Consider the following 20,107-nt stretch of genomic DNA (forward strand, 5'->3'; position numbering starts at 1 on the left):
TTACACGGGTAAATTGCACGTTGCTGAAGTTTAGTGTACAAATGATCCCATTACCCAGGTAGTCAGAATAGTACCCAACAGGCAGTTTTTCAACCCTTGCCCTGCTCCCACCCTCCCTCCTCTAGTAGCCCCCAGTGTCTATTGTTCCCATCTTTATGTCCATGTGTATTCCATGTTTATCTCCCACTTCTGAGTGAGAACATGTGGTATTTGGTTTTCTGTTCCTGCATTAATTCACCTAGAATAATAGCCTCCAGCTGCATCCATGTTGTTGCAAATAAAATGATTTCATTCTTTTTATGGCTGCATAGTATTCCATGGTATATGTATAGCACTTTTTTTTTAATCCAGTCAATCATTGATGGGCATCTAGGTTGATTCTGTATCTTCGCTATTATGCATACTGCTGCATTGAACATATGAGTGCATGTGTCTTTTTGGTAGAATGATTTATTTTCCTTTGGGTATATACCCAGTAATGGGATTGCTGAGTCAAATGGTAGTTCTGTTTTAGTTCTTTGAGAAACCTCCAAACTGCTTTTCACAGTGGCTGAACTAATTTACTTTCCCACCAACAGTGTATAAATGTTCCCTTTTCTCCGCAACTTTACCAGCATGTAATTTTTTGACTTTTTAATAATAGCCATTCTGACTGGTATCTCATTGTGGTTTTTATTTGCATTTCTCTGATGATTAGTGATGATGAACATGTTTTCATATATTTGTTGGCCTCGTGTACATCTTCTTTTGAGAAGTATCTGTTCCTGTCCTTTGCACATTTTTTAATGAGGTTGTTTTTGCTCATTGAATTGTTTTAGTTCGTTATAGATTCTGGATATTAGACCTTTGACAGATGCATAGTTTGCAAATATTTTCTCCCATTTTGTAGGTTATCTGTTTACTCTGTTGATAGTTTCTTTTGCTGTACAGAAGCTCTTTAGTTTAATTCGGTTCCACTTGTCAATTTTTGGTTTTGTTGCAATTGCTTTTGGGGACTTAGTCCTAAATGCTTTGCCAAGGCTAATGTCCAGAATGGTATTTCCAATGTTTTCTTCTGAGATTTTTATAGTTTTAGGTCTTACATTTACGTATTTGATCCATCTTGAGTTAATTTCTGTATATGAAAAAAGGTAGGGGTCCAGTTTCATTCTTCTGCATATGGCTAGCCAGTTATCCCAGCACCATTTATTGAAAAGGGAATCTTTTCCCCACTGCTTGTTATTGTTGACTTTGTTGAAGATCCAATGTTTGTAGGTGTGTGGCTTTATTTCTGGGTTCTCTGTCCTGTTCCATTGGTCTATGTGTCTGTTTTTGTAGCAGTACCATGCTCTTTTGGTTACTGTAGCCTTGTAGTATAGTTTGAAATTGGGTAGTGTGATGCCTATGGCTTTGTTCTTTTTGCTTAGGATTGCTTTAGCTATTTGGGTTCTTTTTGGTTCCATATACATTTTAGAATGATTTTTTCTAATTTTGTGAAAAATGACATTAGTAGTTTGATAGGAATAGTGTTGAATCTGTAGATTGCTTTCGGTGATATGGCCATTTTAATGATATTAATTCTTCCAGTCCATCAGCATGGGATATCTTTCCATTTGTTTGTATCATCTATGATTTCTTTTAGCAATGTTTTATAGTTCTCCTTATAGAGATCTTTCACCTTCTTGGTTAGACACATCTAACTTTGTGAGTGTGGCTATTGTAAGTGGAGTTGCATTCTTGGTTTGGCTCTTAGCTTGAACATTACTGGCATATAGAAATGCTAATAATTTTTGTATACTCATTTTTAAAAATAATTTTTTAAGAGACGAGGTCTTACTACATTGCCCAGTCTGGTCTTGAACTCCTGAACTCAAGCGATGCTCCCACCTTTGCATCCCAAAGTGCTGAGATTACAAGCATGAGCCACCATGCCCGACCCTGATTTTTATATATTGATTTTGTATCCTGACGCTTTACTGAAGTCATTTATCAGCTCTAGGAGCCTTTGGTGGAGTCTTTCTTTAGGGTTTTCTAGGTGTAGAATCATATCATCAGTAAAGAGAAATCATTTGACTTTTTTGCTTCCTATTTGGATGCCTTTTATTTCTTTCTATTGCCTGATTGCCCTGGCTAGGACTTCCAGTACAACACTGAATAGGAGTGATGACTCTCCCCACTCCTATTCAACACCATATTGAAGGTTCTAGCCAGAGCAATTAAGCAAGAAAAGCAGATACAAGGCATCCATATTGGAAAGAAACAAGTAAACCTATCTCTATTTGCAGATGACCTGATGATCACCTCTATTAGCAGATGATTTGCAAAGAAAATCCTAATGAATACACACACACACAATTAGAACTAATAAACAAGTCCAATAAAATTGAAGGATACAAGCCAATATACAAAAGTGAAGTATATTTCTATATGCTAACAATGAAAAATTAAAATGAAATTAAGAAAATAATTCCATTTACAATAGCATCAAAAAGAATAAAACATTAAAAATAAATTTAACAAAATAATTGCAAGGCTTGCCTACTTAAAACTATAAAACATAGTTGAAAGAAATTAAAGAAAACCTAAATAAATGGAAAGACATCCCATGTTTATGGATCAGAAGACATAATATTATTATGATGGCAATACTGCACAAACTAACCTACAAATGCAACATAATCCCTATCAAAATCTGTTTTATAGAAATTGATAGGCTGATCCTAAAATGCATATGAGAATGGAAAGGTCACAGAATAACCTAAACTATCATAAAAAAAATAAGAACAGGCCGGGCCTGGTGGCTCATGCCTGTAATCCCAGCACTTTGGGAGGCCGAGGTGGGTGGATCACCTGAGGTCAGGAGTTCGAGACCAGCCTGACCAACATGGAGAAACCCAATTTCTACTAAAAATACAAAATTAGCCAGGCATGGTGGCGCATGCCTATAATCCCAGCTACTTGGTAGGCTGAGCCAGGAGACTCTCTTGAACCCAGGAGGCGGAGGTTGTGGTGAGCCGAGATCGCACCATTGCACTCCAGCCTGGGCAACAAGAGCAAAGCTCCATCAAGAAAAAAAAAAAAAAAAAAAAACGAATAAAATTGAAAGACCCACACTTCCTGATTTCAAACTTACTACAACGACAGTAATCAAGGCAGTGTGATACTGGTATAATGCTGGACATATAGATCTAGAGGGAAATTTATAGCTATAAATGCCTATATTACAAAAGAAGAAAACATTATATTTTGCATTTCTCAAAACCCATAGAACTACACAACACAGAATGAGCCCTAATGTAAACTATGGATGTTAGTTAATAATAATATATCAACATTGGCTTATCAATTGTAACAAATGTACCACTCTAATGCAAGATGTTAATAACTCAATAAAATGCTAGCAAACTTAATCCAACAATATATAAAAAGGATTATACACCATGACCAAGTGGTATTTATCCCAGGAATGTTAAGGTTGATACTGCATATGAAAATCATTAATGGAATAAAATTCAAAGTCCAGAAATAGACCCTTGTATTTATGATCAAGTGATTTTTGATGAGGGTGCCAAGACCTTTCAATGGGGGAAAGAATAGTCTTTTCAACAAATGATGCCGAGACAACTAGATATCTTCCCCGCACCACCCCCCAAAAAAGAAGCTAGACTATGACCTCACATTATATACAAAAATTAGCTCAAAATGGATTACAAACTTAAATCTAAGAGCAAAACTATGAAACTCCTAGAAGAAAATGTAGGAGTAAACCTTTGTGACCTTAGATTAGGGGATGGTTTCTTAGATATTATTCCAAAAGCACGAGCAACAAAAGTAAGCTATATTGAACTGCATCAAAATTTAAAATTTTGTGCTTCAAAGGACACCATAATACAACCCACAGAATGGGAGAAAAGATTTGCAAATCATATATCTGAAAAGGGACTTGTACAAAGAATATGTAAAGAATTCCTACAACTCAACAGTAAAACAAGTAACCCAGTTTAAAAATAGGCAAAGAATTTCAAAGACATTTCCTGAAGCAGATATACAAATGGATGATAAGCATATGAAAAGATGCTTGACATCATTAGTCATTAAAGAAATGCAAATCAAAACCACAATTGGTTACCACCTCACACCCACTTGGATGGCTAAAAATCAAACTGACAGAGAATAACAAGTACTGGAGAGGATCTGGAGAAATTAGAATCACTGGGAAGGATGTAAAATGGTGGAGTTGCTGTGGAAAGCAGTCTGGTAATTCTTCAAAATGTCAAACAGTTAGCCAGCAATCCCACTCCTAGGTATATATCCAAGAAAACTGGAAACATGTCCATACAAAAATCTGTACACAAATGTTCATAACATTAGTCATAATAACCAAAAAGTGGAAACAACACAAATGTCCATCAACTGAAGGATGGATTAAAAAAAATTCATATAGACACAAGGGAATATTATTATGAAATATTATTCAGTGATAAAAAGGAATGAAGTAGTGATACATGCTATGATATAGGTGAACCTTAAAAATTATGCTAAGTAAAAGAGTCAGCCACAAAAGGCTACATATTGTATATTTCCACTTGTATTTAATGTCCAGAATAGGCAAATCCATAGAGTAGATTAGTAGTTGCCAGGGGCTAGGGAGAAGAAATGAGGAATGACTGCTAATAGGTATAGGGTTTCTTTTGGGGTAATGAAAATCTTCTGGAATTAGATAGTGGTGATGGCTGTGTAAGTCTGCGATTGTGTTAAAACCCAATAAATAGTATACTTTAAAATAGTGAATTTTATTTTATGCAAAATATATCTCAATAAAGCTGGATTTTTTTAAAAGGTCATTATAGCAAACCAGGCAAGAGATTGTTGTAGCTTAAACCAGGATAATGGCAATGAAAATGAACAGAAATAAACAAACTGAAAGAATTCTGGGGAAGTAGGAAAGATAGAACTTCAGAATTGATTGGCTATGGAGGGAGAATGAGAGTGATATGTTCCAGATAAATTAAGAAGCTAAATAATTTAAAATCATGGAACACAAACATTTGTAGGAAATATGCGTATAAAAAGTTTAGAAGGAAAAATACAAAAATGGTAATAATAGCTATGTTATAGTAAGAGAAATTAAATAACTTTTTAAAATCTCATTTTCCAGAATTTCTATAATGTGACTGACTATATTGCTTTTGTGTTTAAAAATAGTTTTTGGCCAGGCGCGGTGGCTCACGCCTGTAATCCCAACACTTTGGGAGGCTGAGATGGGTGGATCACCTGAGGTCAGGTGTTCAAGAACAGCCTGGCCAACACGGTGAAACTCCGTCTCTACTAAAAATACAAAAATTAGCTCGGTGTGGTGGCACATGTCCATAATCCCAGCTACTCCAAAGGCTGAGACAGGAGAACTGCGTGAATCCAGGAGGTGGAGGCTGCAGTGAGCCAAGATTGTACCACTGAACTCCAGCCTGGGCAACAGAGCAAGACTCTGTCTCATAAATACATAAATAAAAATAGTTTTTAAGTTTTGTAAAAATTATCAAAGAACAGGGTATCATATTTATCCCAACTATGAAGAAGTAATGATTTCCTATTAATTGAATCAACAGAAAAAATTACAAAGGAAAATATTCAAACATGAATATATGAAACTTTTTATGTATACAATCAAAATTTTAAAATAAAGAAAATCAAATTCATCAATGCTATATACCATATACATGCTAATATAGGCTTATTAATTTTTTAAAAATCAACCATCCAGTATAAGTAGAGAGAAAAATAACATTAAAGACAGTCGATTTTCAATGACAGTGCCAAGGTAATTCAATGGGAAATGATAATTTTTTCAAGAAATGGTTCTGGAATAAATAGGTACCCATGTTGAAAAACAAATGAATCTCAACTCTTACACCATCTAAAACAACTTGAAGTAGATCATTAACTGAATATAAGAGCTAAAATGTACAGAAAAAATGTAGAATATTTTAGTGACTTTGGGTTAGGCAAAGATTTTTAAAATAGGGCACAAAAAGCACCAACTATAAAAATAAAAATTCAATAAATTGGACCTCATCAAAATTTACATTTGCTCTTCAAAAGGCACTATGACAAAAACGAAAAGACAAACCACAGACTAGAAGAAACTATTTGCAAAACATATATTTGACAAAGTACTGGCATAAAGAATATAAAGAATTCTTACAACTCAATAAGACAGCAAACAACCCAATTAAAAAATTGGCCAAAATTTCACCAAAGACATGTCATTAAAGAAGATCTACAGATGGAAAAAAGCACATAAAAAGAAGCTCAACATTGTTTGTGGTAAGCAGCTTCTAAGATGGTCCCCAGTGATTTCCACATTCTCGTATTCACACTCTGTGTGATCCCTTCCTCTTGAGTATAGGTTGGACATAGTCACTCCTTTCTAACAAATAGAATATGAATAAAAGTGATAGAAAGCAGCTCTGAGATTAAGCTACAGAAAGACTGTGGTTTCCATTTGGGTTCTTTCTAGTTTTCTTTCTCAGTTCACCAGCCTGAGGATGCTCGGGCAGCCTATGGAGGTCCACATGATGAAGAACTGAGGTTAACCAACAACCATGTAAGTGAACTGGAAGTGGATTTTGCAGTCCCAGTCAGCCTTGAGATGATTTCTACTTGACTGCAAACTTATAAGAGACCCTGAACTAGCCTCACCCAGCCCACCTAAGCCACACCCAGATTCCTAACCCGCAGAAACTGTGAGATAATAAATGTTTGTTGTTTTAAGCCAGTAATTTGGGGGTAATTGGTTGCACAGCAGTAGATAACAAATATATTATTAGTCATGAGGTAAATACAAACTAAAGCTACCAATGAGATACCTATACACTCCCTAAAATAGGTAAAATTTAAAAGACTGAAAATGTCAAATGTTGTTGAGGAGTAGGGCAACTAGAACTCTCATCTACTGGTAGTGGAAACGAAAGAAATACAGCTACTTTGTGAAACGTATTTGGCAGTTTCTTAAAAGTTTAACCATACTTTCTGCACCCATAAAAAAGAACAAGATCGGCGGGGTGCGGTGGCTCACGCCTGTAATCCCAGCACTTTGGGAGGCTGAGGTGGGCGGATCACGAGGTCAAGAGATCGAGACCATCCTGGCCAACGTGGTGAAATCCCATCTCTACTAAAAATACAAAAAATTAGCTGGGCATGGTGGTGCCCGCCTGTAGTCCCAGCTACTCGGGAGGCTGAGGCAGGAGCATCACTTGAACCCAGGAGGCGGAGGTTGCAGTGGGCCAAGATTGTGCCACTAAACTCCAGCCTGGCAATAGAGCGAGATTCCATCAAAAAAAGAAAGAAAAAAAAAAAAAGAACGAGATCATATCTTTTGTGGGAACATGGATGGAGCTAGAGGGTATTACCCTTAGCACACTAATGCAGGAACCGAAATTCAAATACTGCATATTCTCACTTATAAGTGGGAGCTAAATTATGAGAATTCATGGACACAAAGAAGGAAATAACAGAAACTGGAGCCTACTTGAGGGTGGAGGGTGGGAGTAGGAAGAGGGGCAGAAAAGACAGCTATTGAGTACTGGACTTAATACCTGGGTGATGAAATAATCTGTACAACAAACCCCCATGGTACAAGTTTACATATGTAACAAACCTTCACATGTACCCCTGAAACAAAAAGTTAAAAATAAATAAATAAATAAATAAATAAATAAATAGAAAAAAATTAACCATACTTTCAAAAGGAGTAATCTCTATTGAAAAAAAAATTTTAAATAAATAAAATAGAAATAAATTTAAGCATACAACTACCATATAACTCAAACATTCCTCTCCTAGGTATTTACCCAAGAGAAATGAAAACATATGTCCACACAAAGACTTATACTCAAATATTCATAGCAGCTTTATTTGTAATAGCCAAAAATGGAAAAAACCCAAATGTCCATCAATAAGTGAATGGATAAACAAATTGTGATGCACCCATATAATGGATACTATTTAGCAATATAAAGGAATAGACTATTAATACCACAACATGGATGAATGTCAAAATAGTGTACACTACATTATTTCATTTATATAAAATTCTATAAAATGCAACCTAATCTATAGTGATAAAGTAGTTCAGTGATTGCTTATGGGTATTGGGAGTGGGGAATAATTTGGTCACAAAACAACAGGAGGAAACTTTTAGGGGTGATAAATATGCTAATTATCTTGATTTTAGTGAGTTACAAGATACCCTTGGAGACAACTTAGTAACACTATATTAACCATAAAAAATTTGTGGCCCCATAAATCTTGTTCTTGGGAATTTGTCTTAAGAATATTTCAAAAAAATATAAAAAGCTTTTCATACAAATACATTCATAGTAATTTCACCTACACCAAAGATACTGGAAATTACCTAAGTGCCTAGCTACTGTGAAAGGGTTAAATCAACACTAGACCATTTCCTTCACAATTACAGATGAAAAACAAGAAGTGAGGAGCAGCATTTAGCTATGTTTATAAAATAATGCAAATGCACTTTGTAAAAAACTACGGAATTGTACTTATGCTATGGTTACACTTATGTAAACATGCATACTTATGCATAAGAACACAAAGGTAAGAAAAACAACAGAAAATTCTAGTAGATGAATGATAGGTAATTGGCATGTGGGTGACTTTTTCTTCCTGATTTGTCTCCTGTAACATTACAATGTTTTCATAACAGTTTTTAAAATGTCTTCTTGTTGGTTTTGGCTCAGGCTCCCAACCCAGTGATTATTCCATGCCTTGAGTCTGTCAGCTCCCAGCATTAGCACCTCAGTGTGGTCAGCCACAAGCCCAATCAGCCTGCCTTCCTCTGTGTCTTCCTCTAAGTCAGGAGTGTCCAGTCTTTTGGCTTCCCTAGGCCACACTGGAAGAAAAAGAATTGTCTCGGGCCACACGTAAAATACACTAAAACTAACAATAGCTGGTGAACTAAAAAAAAAAAAAAAGAAAGAAAGAAATCTCATAATGTTCTAAGACAGTTTAAGAACTTGTGTTGGGCAGCATTCAAAGTTGTCCTGGGCTGCATGAGGTCCGCAGGCCACAGGTTGGATGAGCTTGCTCTAAGTCATTGATAAAATGCTGGACAGGCTTAGGGTATGGTATAAAGGATGCCCCCTTTTCTTCTCTTGGTGGAAATCATCTGTCACTGTTTGACTCTTTAGGTTATTTCAATCTAATAAATGACAAATTCTAGAAACCCACTTCCCAAGGAAGGGGTACTAGAAGGTGGATTAACAAAGTGAACCTGAGGAGCGAGTGGAACTGCTTACCTGTGCTTGGATAGTCTTGTTCATTCACTGGGTAAAGCTGATGTCAATCATCTCTGGCCAGCAAATGCCCCAACTTTCAGAGGCAGCTCCACAAACCAGAGATGAGAATATAGTAGGAAGTCTATGAGAGGGTTAAAACTTTGAAAACAGAAGTGACAGAAGCCTGCACAGGCTTTCAGAGAGCATTAATATGATTCTTTCCATAGCTGGGCCCCTGCTTTGCTTAAAAGAGTCTTGTAGGGCAAAGCCCGAGTGGTCAGAGAGCTACTGGAACACCAACCCCACAAGGCAGCTAACTGACAGCCTTTCCTAAGCCTTGTCAACTCCACCTCCTGGCCATTTCAGAAGCAATCTTTCCTCTCCTTCCTTTCACTTCTTTCCATCCTCGCAACCCTTACACACATCCAGGGCTTCACCACTGTGTTAGTCCTCTGACCCAGAGCTCTGTTCCAGCAGTATGTTTGGTCCCACCACCTATGGACAGTTTGGCCTCGCCAGGGCTCAGGGAAGGCAGGGAGCGCTACACACCAGCCACCCAAGGTGAGGCCCCCTACACAGACCTGAGCAGCTGTTCCTCATCTTTTCATATTCCTGAATTACATTTAAACCCACAACAGGAGGGCAAGCTCAGCTCTCCTGGCCAGCCCCAGGGTTCCCTAGAGTCCTACCCTAGTGGCTGATAGACATGATGACCATGCGGATGGCTTCAGGACTGACAAAAACACCCCTGAACCTATAGAAGCTGGGACCCTGCTCAGTGCTGAATCTTTCCCCGACCCTCCTGCCAAAAGTTGGGCTACATCTGCCCAGGCAAAGGCCAGGGCTACATGCACATGCAAGACCCTAAGTTTCCAGGACACCAGGGAGAAAGGTTGCTCCTGTGAGACCCTCAGACCCCAGCCCAGTAGGGCCAAGTTAGCCAAACTCTCCCTCAAAGCTTCTTATTTCTAGACCCCAGGATAATCCCTGGGTCCCCAGTACCTGAACCTAGGGTAGAAGATGGTGCTCCGAGTCTGAATCTCCCCTCATGCCTGCTTATCACCTGCAAGACCCCTGCTTCTGGGCTGCTTTGCAGTTGCCCACCTGTCTAGATGGCCTACCTTTCCATTACCATGCCTTCCAGATCCAGTGCTCTGCCAGTTATCCTGGATATGCTCCCAATGCCCAGTTAGTGACAGGCCTGAGAGTAGCCCCTGGGTCTCCTGATACATTAGTGTATTTAATATGTGCAAAGTGGTTACAACAGTGTGTGTTCATGGAAGAGTTATGTATGTCTGAGTTAATATTACTAACTTTCACAACTCTCTTACATTACTATTTATCCCCATTGTATAGATCGACAGGTTGAGGCTGAGTGGATAAGTGACTGGCCCAAGGCTGCACAGCTTGGAAGAGGCAGAGACAGGAACTGACCCAAGACTGGATGACTGAGTAACAGGCTCTCACAGGAGGGTCACATTGTGACAGAAGACTTGGTGGGGGGCAGTGTCCTCAGATGCTGGGAAAGGGAAGACCAAGGGAGAGTGGAAAGGAGCTGCATTGTGTAGGGAGGGGGTCTTGAATGACAGGCCCAGGAAATAGCACTTGATCTTGCAGGAGGATGATGGGAAGCATTGAGGGTTTGTGCAGAGCCAGCAGGAGCGCCCGCTGGGAGCGGACTGTTTAGAACCTTGGACATGTGGAGAAAGCTGATGCCGCATAACCCTGTGTGCCTCTCCTCCCTAAGTTAGGCTCTGCCCAGCAGAGGAAGCTCTTGGGCAGAAAGGCGGAGGATCTGACTCCCACGGGCTCCAGGGTCCTCCTGGGTGGATGTCCCTCCGTCCTGTCTTGCCACTCTCTGTGCCATCCTCCAGGACAAAGGAGGCTCGTATGGGCAACTGGAACCCGGCTGGAGTGTGCAGCTGGCCCCCTCACTTCCAGCCCGCAGGCTGCCGCGGGGGTGACTCCCGGGAGATGCGCCTAGAGAGGCAGGACACCTGCACGCATATTCGTAACAGAGGCAGAAATACTGACGGCGAAACCTAGAGAGACTTGCACTCCAGGCCCGGGGGGTGGGGGGGCGGGGGAGAAGCCTTAGGGAGAGTGGGGAGGAGGCCAGAGGAGAGCTGGCTGCTCTCTCGTGTTGAGGTTCAAGTGTCTTCCAGCTCCCCGCGCCCCCTCCTCACCGTGCCACCGCCCACCTCATGCTTTGGGCGCCAAGCAGCCAAGCAACCGGGTTGCGTTGTAGGGGGAGGCAATCAGCCCTGTTACCCCTCCTCAGGCGGCCGGACTGAGCTGCGGGATGGGATCCCTACAGAGACTGGCCTGGGTAAGGGGAAAAAATCACTGCCTCTTCCTGTGCCTCTAGTGGTTGAACTAGAATCCTGGCTAGCTCATCTCGCTTTTGAAGGGGGAAGGGGAGTAATCATCGGCTCTTTTGAGATTGTCTTGCAAACCATGGACTCTCTCCCCAGAAATGAACACCCACAATCTAGTGTGTAAATTTCAGGTTTCCAAGTGTTCCAAAGCCGCGCACAAATTTCGGAACCAGACCAAGAATCCTGGACTCTAGACGTTGCCTGGGGGCCGATCCTGCGCCCAGGGTCCCAGAATCTAACTGAAATGCGCCTGCGGGCCGCCACCTTCGCCCCGGGCCACGGCTTTGCCAGGAATGCCCGCCGCCACAGCTGAACTCCCGCCCGCCCGCCTGGGTCGGATCAGACGCGGGTAGTGGCTTGCGCTTCGTGGTCCTCGGGTCCGGAACGCAGGGAAAGCGCGTGGAGCCAACCTAGAGCGGGAGCAGGGTCTGGCTTGACTCTGTCCCCGATTCGTTGTGCGCAGTGGGACAAGTCCGCGCCGTCCGGAGCCGACTTCCCCTTCTCGTTGTGGCCGTAAAGCTGCTGGACCTCCAAGCCGGCTCCTGCGCTCCCCGCTGCTCTGAGAACACTGAGTGTCCCGGGCCCGCGCAGACTGGGTTGGGAGAGGGCTCTGTGGGAGGGCTTGCGGGGAGCGGGGTAAGAAAGGCTAGGTGCTTCTTACCTACGTAAGAAACGTTGGTGGCGGGATCTAAGCAAACGGGGAGGTGGGAAGCAGAAGGTTCCCCTTCCTGGGCCCCAGTTCCTCCATCCTGTCCCCTGGGTGACAGTGATTCGCTGTTCATAGTGTTTAAGTGGACCAACTTAAAGGGAGAGAGCGCTTGCCGAGCTCTGGGAAACCGAAAGGGTCCACGCCCGCGGGAGCCTCGGAGACTCAAAATCCCCCGCTAGACCGCAGAAAATGTTACACTTTAATCAACCGCTACTTCTTCCGTGGAGAGGGGCGGTGGGTGGGGGTGTGCGCATCTCATCGCGGCCTGTGAGTGGAACAGGCTAGAATTATCCCCAGCGTCTTTTTTCCATGTCCAAGTTTCGCCTTAAAACAATTTAAAAGAGGAAGAAGAGGACCGCGCGTCTGTAAGGCGCTCCACTTTATCACCTTGACTCGGTGGAAGAGAAAGCACAGATATGGGATATCCCCACATACACACTTCACAGATAGAGAAACTGAGGCCTAAGAAGGGCAGTGGATGGTTTAAAGTCGCTGGGTGGGTCTTGAGCAATCTTGGGTGGAAACCCTCACAACACTGGTGCTGCCTTACATGGATGTCTTCTGTGGTCAGCAGGACGAGTGTGACTTGGGGGCCCCCTTTTGTGACAGTGTCTTGCTCTGATGCTCTCTAGGGCCATACAGCCCACTGACCCAGACAGAATGCACTGGAGTAACCTAAACAGGTCACTGCGATGCTGCTGTAAGGAGATCCTTGGATCAGATTTGCAAGTGTGGACGCCTGGAGTTTTGTTGTTCAGTAAAAAGGGCAGCCCAGGCCAAAGAATTAAGTACAAGTAAGGCTCTGAGAACTCAAGAAAAGACAGAGAGGCTTTGGGGCCAAAGAGTAAGGCCCAAAGACCTGAGTTTCCTTCTCAGCCCAAGGCTTTTCTCTCTACAAGTCCCTTCCACAATCCAGGCCCAGTCTCCTTCCAGCTTGAATTTCCATGGTTTCTTTAATAGAAGAACTGGTTACCTCTGCGTCTGCATGCAGGGGAATCTCCGTCAAGGAATCTGGAGGAATTTTCCTTGACTCCTTGGACCCCTCTCGTTTTTATTTACAAAGTCGCCCATTCAAAACTGAGGAAAGCAGCTGTTGCAGAAGAACATCTTCTAAAGATTCCCAATAGCACCTCCAGCCCCCTATGCACATAAAATGGCCTGCTGCAGGCTGGCTTCTCCAGGGGTGCTGGGAATACTTGAAGGGCTGAAGATCAGTGGGAAGCAGAAATCACTGGCCTGCCCACATCAACACCAACCCACCCCTGCTGGATTGGGAGAATGATTTCCAAGGGTCTGGAACCTGCCCTTCCTAACTTCCAGATGATTCATAAACGTTAAGGAGCACTGTGGCAGAGAAGAGGGGAGGACTTGGCCATGACCATGTTCCTTCTCAAGAAACTGAGAAGGAAGCAATGGGAAGAGATAGGAAATGCCCCGAGGAGATTTTTGTGTATGGTTTTGATCCAAACGGGTAAACTTGTGACCTGTGTACTCACCAAATCATTTAATGTGAACTCACTGTGGACTCACAGAATCTTCAAATGCATTATTCAAAGAGAACATTTATGAAATAGAAATTTAGGGGTCCTTGGTTTGCGAAAATCTTAGAATCATGATCTTGGAAATTCTAATCTCATGATGCTAGGTATTTGGTCTCGGCCACAGGAGTAGCTTGATATTAACAAAGTTTGAGAAAACCATCAGAATTCTAGAAGAATGAGGTCACAGACACAAGACACTGAAGAACAGAAAATCCTGAGACAAGAAGGCTTTTAGCCATAGTCGTTGCAGCTTAAAAGTAGAGGATCATAAAGTCATGGGACTAATCATTACAGCATATAATCACAAACATTAGAAGAATTATTGGAATCAGATTATTTGAACTACAGAATAGCAGATCCAGCACTAACATTTTAGAATTAAGGAAGGAGAGAACTGCGGATTTACAGGATTCAAATTCTTCCAATCAGACATTCCTAAACAGGAATTCAAATTAAATAATATATAACTTAGAGTGGAAAAAATAAAAAACTGGAGAAGTGGCAGCTTCAAGAGTGGCATCATATTTTCAGGCACAAAATCTTAGGTCCCCGTTTTTTGTTTGTTTTGTTTTGCTTTTAAGAGACCGGGTCTCCCTTTGCTGCACAGGCTGGAGTGCTGTGGCTACTCACAGGCACAATGATTGTGCACTACAGCCTGGAACTCCTGGGCTCAAGCGATCTTCCTGCCTTAACCTCCAGTAGCTGGGACTACAGGCTCCCGCCACCGTGCCTGGTTTAGTCCCAGTATCTTAATACATAGGTTTTTAGACTTTGACTAGAAGCTTAAGTCAAAGGAATATAAGCATAGTCAAAGTTAGACTCCCAGTCTTGGAATCTTAGAATTACAGGGTCGCAGGATCGCAGGATCGCATTCTTTAGATTTATGGAATCACGTTAGGACAACGGTCGTCCAGAATTTAAAATCTAGATATCTGAATCTCAGAATCTTGAAAGTTACTGAGAGCCACGAAATCCCGTATTAAAAGGTGCCTATAATATAATCCAGTTAAAAATTTTAAAATTTGAAGTTTTTCCTCCTTTGTAAAAACGAAACAGGACGAAATCTGGGTTTTTTGCTTCTCCATTACTTGGGAAGAAGGAAACCAGGAGTTTTGTTTAGCGAGTGTAAAGCCCCTCTCCCTTCGTTCGACCAACCCTCTGCCGCAGAAGGTTGTCAAGCAAACGCTTTGAGCGTTTCCACACACCGGGTCGACGGAGCAAGGATCTGGGCTTTGCCTCGCTCTTCCGAAGGCAGCTGCCCAACGCTTGGCCGGGCTTAGCCTGCCCTCAGCTCACCGCCACGAAGAACGCGACTAAAACCCTGGAAGGCATGCCACCCGTTACTGGCCAGAACTCTCGTCTTGGGATCTCCCACACTCACCTGGCACCACCATCCGCGCGGCTCTGCACCCACAGCCCCGGCCCGCCCCCCCCCCCCACCCCGGAAAGCTGCGTCCGGGCTGGAGCCACTGGAACCCGCGCCAAGGCCCGGAATCCTATACGTAGCAGGGGCCTCGGAGATCAGCACACGCCCTCCAGCTGCTATTTAACAGAGTAGAACACTGAGGCCCTGCGAGGGGACAAGGACAGGCCCTGGATCTCCCAGTGAATGGCCAGGGAACGAACCCGGGCCAGAGGGGCCGCGCCGCGAGGATCTCAGGTTAGGACCAAGTTCCGGCTCAGGGACAGCAGGAAAGGAACTCAGAAATTGGACACCCATGAAGCAAACGTGTCCCGACTGCCCGCCCCTTCCCCCGGAGACGCGCCCACCCGGCCACCGCTCTCTTCCCACTCCCCCATTACCCGCAGCCCTCACTCCCCGCTGCGGGAAGGGGCTGCTTGGCTGCCTCTGGGGGTCTTCAGAGCTACCCTGGTCCCGGGGGATTGGAGGAGGAGGTTACCTATCCTGCGTCGTCTTTAATCCGTGCACCACTATCCATCAAATAGAGACAGATCCTGGGCCTCTCAAAGACGGATGATTGGGGGTGGTGATTGGCCTATCCCTAAATATCTACCACGCAAGGACTCTTGAGAGATCCAGACCCCGGTACAGTCGAGGGACCTGGGGCCCAAAAAGGGAAAGCGGCTACCTCTACCACACAGTTGGGAAGCGCAGTCCTAAAGGAGACGCAGGTTGGAGACTCCGCTAAGCGGAGAAGCCGCAGTGGGGCCATGGCAAGTCACCTTCCCTTTCGGGCCTAGGAATACTCATTCGAAAGATGGGGGGACTGGAGTGCCGAGTGGCTGTGGCAGCCACGATTGGGGTTTGGAAACCATCCTGAAAGGCCCGGGGAGCCAGTCTCCTGGAACTTCTCCCTCCCCATTCCCACAAAAACCAAGCGCCCTCTCGGCCAATTCTCACCCTCTCAGGACAAAAAAGTGAGATGAGCCCGTCCTTTCACCTGCGAGTCCAAGCCCTTGGCAGAGGCCTGAAAAGTCCGAAAACTCCGAGTTCGGGCGCTGAGGTCTCCCGAGCCGGTTCCTGAACTCTCCGGGCCTCAGTCGATCGGGGTGCGGAGGGGGCCGACCCGGGGGATCTCCAAGCGCCCTCCCCGCCCTGACGCTGTGGGGCTCCTACCGCGCCGCCACAGCTGCTCCTACCTGGGGAGGTGCGCCCGGGCCCCGGGGGGCGGGCAGTCGGGGGGCGGGCAGGGAACCGGTGCCGCCCCACGCTTCGTGGCCCCTTTAAGGAGGGGAAGCCGGCGGAGGGAGGAGCCGGTCCGGTGTGTGCAGGGGAGCGCCTCGCCAGCGGTCCGCAGGGCTGGAGACCCACGCCGTGGAGAGGACCAGCCTCAGGTCGCCCCGCCTGGGCCCGCGCCCCGACCTCGCTGCCCCCGCCTCGCCTCTCTGCCCGTGGCGCTTACGGCCACCTTGGCCTCGGGGGCAGGGCATGGGCGGCCCCCGCCAGATCGCCCAGCGCCAGTACTAACTGCCCTCGCTCTGGCCTTCGAGCCCGAAGCCTCTTCTGCGCGCACAACCTAGGCAGTAATCCTAAACTAGCGGGCACCACAGACCAGCTGCAGCCACCCCAACCCAGGGATCACTTCCGGACCCCTCGACCGCCCGGCACCAGCGCGCAAGGGACCCTTCAGCCGGAGACCAGAGTCCAGTCCCGGTCACGAGGCCACCGCCGCTGCCCGCCTCGAGAAGCACCACGCGGGCTGAGCCGTCGGCTAGCGGGTCACTCCCGAGCCTCTGTCTGCACCGCGCCAGCCCCAGACCACGGACGCTGAGCCTCCAGCGCGTGCCAGCCTGGGCCGCTGGGCTCTCGGGGCCAGCCCGCGACGATCCCCTGAGCTCTCCGCAGAAGGGCCGAGCGTCCGTTCCGGGGACGCCAGGCCCGCCCCCGCCCCCCGACAGCCGCGGGGATCCAGAGCCCGGGGGTGCGGGACGCCCGCGCCATGACTGCCGAGAGCGGGCCGCCGCCGCCGCAGCCGGAGGTGCTGGCTACCGTGAAGGAAGAGCGCGGCGAGACGGCAGCAGGGGCCGGGGTCCCAGGGGAGGCCACGGGCCGCGGGGCGGGCGGGCGGCGCCGCAAGCGCCCCCTGCAGCGCGGGAAGCCGCCCTACAGCTACATCGCGCTCATCGCCATGGCCATCGCGCACGCGCCCGAGCGCCGCCTCACGCTGGGCGGCATCTACAAGTTCATCACCGAGCGCTTCCCCTTCTACCGCGACAACCCCAAAAAGTGGCAGAACAGCATCCGCCACAACCTCACACTCAACGACTGCTTCCTCAAGATCCCGCGCGAGGCCGGCCGCCCGGGTAAGGGCAACTACTGGGCGCTTGACCCCAACGCGGAGGACATGTTCGAGAGCGGCAGCTTCCTGCGCCGCCGCAAGCGCTTCAAGCGCTCGGACCTCTCCACCTACCCGGCTTACATGCACGACGCGGCGGCTGCCGCAGCCGCCGCCGCCGCCGCCGCCGCCGCCGCCGCCATCTTCCCAGGCGCGGTGCCCGCCGCGCGCCCCCCCTACCCGGGCGCCGTCTATGCAGGCTACGCGCCGCCGTCGCTGGCCGCGCCGCCTCCAGTCTACTACCCCGCGGCGTCGCCCGGCCCTTGCCGCGTCTTCGGCCTGGTTCCTGAGCGGCCGCTCAGCCCAGAGCTGGGGCCCGCACCGTCGGGGCCCGGCGGCTCTTGCGCCTTTGCCTCCGCCGGCGCCCCCGCTACCACCACCGGCTACCAGCCCGCAGGCTGCACCGGGGCCCGGCCGGCCAACCCCTCCGCCTATGCGGCTGCCTACGCGGGCCCCGACGGCGCGTACCCGCAGGGCGCCGGCAGTGCGATCTTTGCCGCTGCTGGCCGCCTGGCGGGACCCGCTTCGCCCCCAGCGGGCGGCAGCAGTGGCGGCGTGGAGACCACGGTGGACTTCTACGGGCGCACGTCGCCCGGCCAGTTCGGAGCGCTGGGAGCCTGCTACAACCCTGGCGGGCAGCTCGGAGGGGCCAGTGCAGGCGCCTACCATGCTCGCCATGCTGCCGCTTATCCCGGTGGGATAGATCGGTTCGTGTCCGCCATGTGAGCCAGCGTAGGGACGAAAACTCATAGACACATCGGCTGTTCACACGTTCCCCGCAATCTGAGAACGAACAGGAATGGAGAGAGGACTCAACTGGGACCCACGTGGAAAAGACCGAGCAGGCCACAGAGGCTCGGTCTCCCCGCGCACAGCGTAGGCACCCGGTGTACTCTGTAAACGGGAGGAGGTGGGGCGAGGCAGCCAGAGCCCTTGGACTGGCACAGGGACCCTCGATGGAGCGAAGCCCTCAAACGGGATGCTTTCTGGTATTCTATCGGGGAGGGTCCTTGGCGGTAACCAGAGGGCAGCGTAGTGTCAACACCAGAGACCAGGATCCAAATTGTGGGGAATCAGTTTCAGCCTTCCATGTGCTGCCGGAACTCGGGCCTTTTTACGCGGTTCGTCCTCTAGTGCCTTTAACTGCGTTACTACAATAAAAGGCTGCGGCAGCGCCTTTCTTCTTAAAGTGAGGAGGACAAATTTGCAAAAGAAATAGGCTTTTCTTCTTTTTTAAATTGGAGAAATCTCTGCTCTGGTTGACCTGGGCTGGTTTTCCCTGTCTCTGAGAACTTGAGACCTAGCTCCGAGTTGAACTGTGCGTCAGCACTCCAGTCCCATCACCTGAACCTTCAGTCTCCCCCATCTGTTACACTAGAGGGCTGCAGGACTCTATCCACCGCCCCCGGGTTATCATTCAGGGCCCCATCATCTTGGATGCTGCCCTGCGTATTTGGCAGCAATGGTGGGCCACCCAGGGCCTCTGAGTAGCCACCCAAAGCCTAGCCGCTGTTCTAGGGAACGGAAAAGAGTTCATGGCCAAGCGTCTAACCTAAAGTCCCAGGATTGGCTCCAGGCAGCAATTATATCATAACTTATTGAACTTTTGAGCAGGACGTGCTGGTAATTTCATGGCTGTTACTGCCCAGTCATAAATCTGCTTTTCCATTATAAGGCAGAGAGAAGTACATTCGTTCATTTGTCCACTGTTTCTTGTCATCACGCAGCCCTGGACCCAAAGGGTGAACTAAAGTTTAAGGAGATGAGAGGATTCAAGGAGCCCGTTGGTGACGCCTTTCAGTAGCTGGGGAGGGCTCTTCCATCCCCAGCACCCCCTGCTACACCTCAGCAGCCTCCCCCATGCAAAAAGGAAAGAGAAAAATTAAGTTAGGGCAGTCAGTAAAGTGAGCTTTAGAAAGAAACTGGAATTTTAACTTCATTTTGTATCTTGCTTAAGTAGCAGGCTCACTAAAATTAGAGAAAGTCCAATAACTCTCCCCCTTTCCCTTGAGAAATCTTTAAGTTTCGATTCTGGAGCAAAAACTTTCAGCATTAAATATTTCAGAGGCTCCATTCACAGCTTTCAGATAAACTGGAGTGTTCAGATGGACTGTTTTAATAAAAATCTTTGAGCAAGTGAGTTATGGCAAGAGAAACTCAGCCTCTTTCTGTATAAACTTAACAGGGAAGGGCTGGGGTGTGAAAAAGAAGATTGTATGAAAACCATTGGTAATTTTTATTTTTTATTTTTGGGACTGCACTATCCTGTTCACGAAGACATGTGAACTTGGTTCAGTCCAAATGGGGATTTGTATAAACCAGTGCTCTCCATTAGAAATATGGTGCAAGCCACATATGTAATTTTAAATATTCTAGTAGCCACATTAATAAAGTAAAAAGAAACAGG

General features: G+C 46.7%; 1 protein-coding gene and 1 long non-coding RNA gene across 2 annotated transcripts in view, besides 1 other annotated feature; one reads left to right on the top strand and one right to left on the bottom strand.

Annotated features, from left to right (window-relative positions):
- PTCSC2 (papillary thyroid carcinoma susceptibility candidate 2) overlaps positions 1-16,470 on the bottom strand; it is a 153,456-nt gene extending 136,986 nt beyond the window's left edge. The window contains exon 1 of the long non-coding RNA NR_147055.1: positions 16,306-16,470. This is a non-coding gene — a long non-coding RNA (papillary thyroid carcinoma susceptibility candidate 2). The remainder of the gene's footprint in view (positions 1-16,305) is intronic.
- Positions 15,083-15,584: an enhancer, noted in NCBI's record as "H3K4me1 hESC enhancer chr9:100613975-100614476 (GRCh37/hg19 assembly coordinates)". NCBI's record gives its function as "activates a minimal SCP1, AML or CMV promoter by ChIP-STARR-seq in naive H9 embryonic stem cells {active_cell/tissue: H9 hESC(naive)}" and the evidence as "EXISTENCE:reporter gene assay evidence [ECO:0000049][PMID:30033119]".
- Positions 16,616-20,107, top strand: FOXE1 (forkhead box E1). Its single transcript, NM_004473.4, has one exon. The coding sequence runs from the start codon at positions 17,305-17,307 to the stop codon at positions 18,424-18,426; it is 1,122 nt and encodes a 373-aa protein (NP_004464.2). The 5' UTR covers positions 16,616-17,304; the 3' UTR covers positions 18,427-20,107.

This window comes from Homo sapiens, chromosome 9 (genome assembly GCF_000001405.40).
Source record: "Homo sapiens chromosome 9, GRCh38.p14 Primary Assembly".
Taxonomy (NCBI): Eukaryota; Metazoa; Chordata; class Mammalia; order Primates; family Hominidae; genus Homo; species Homo sapiens.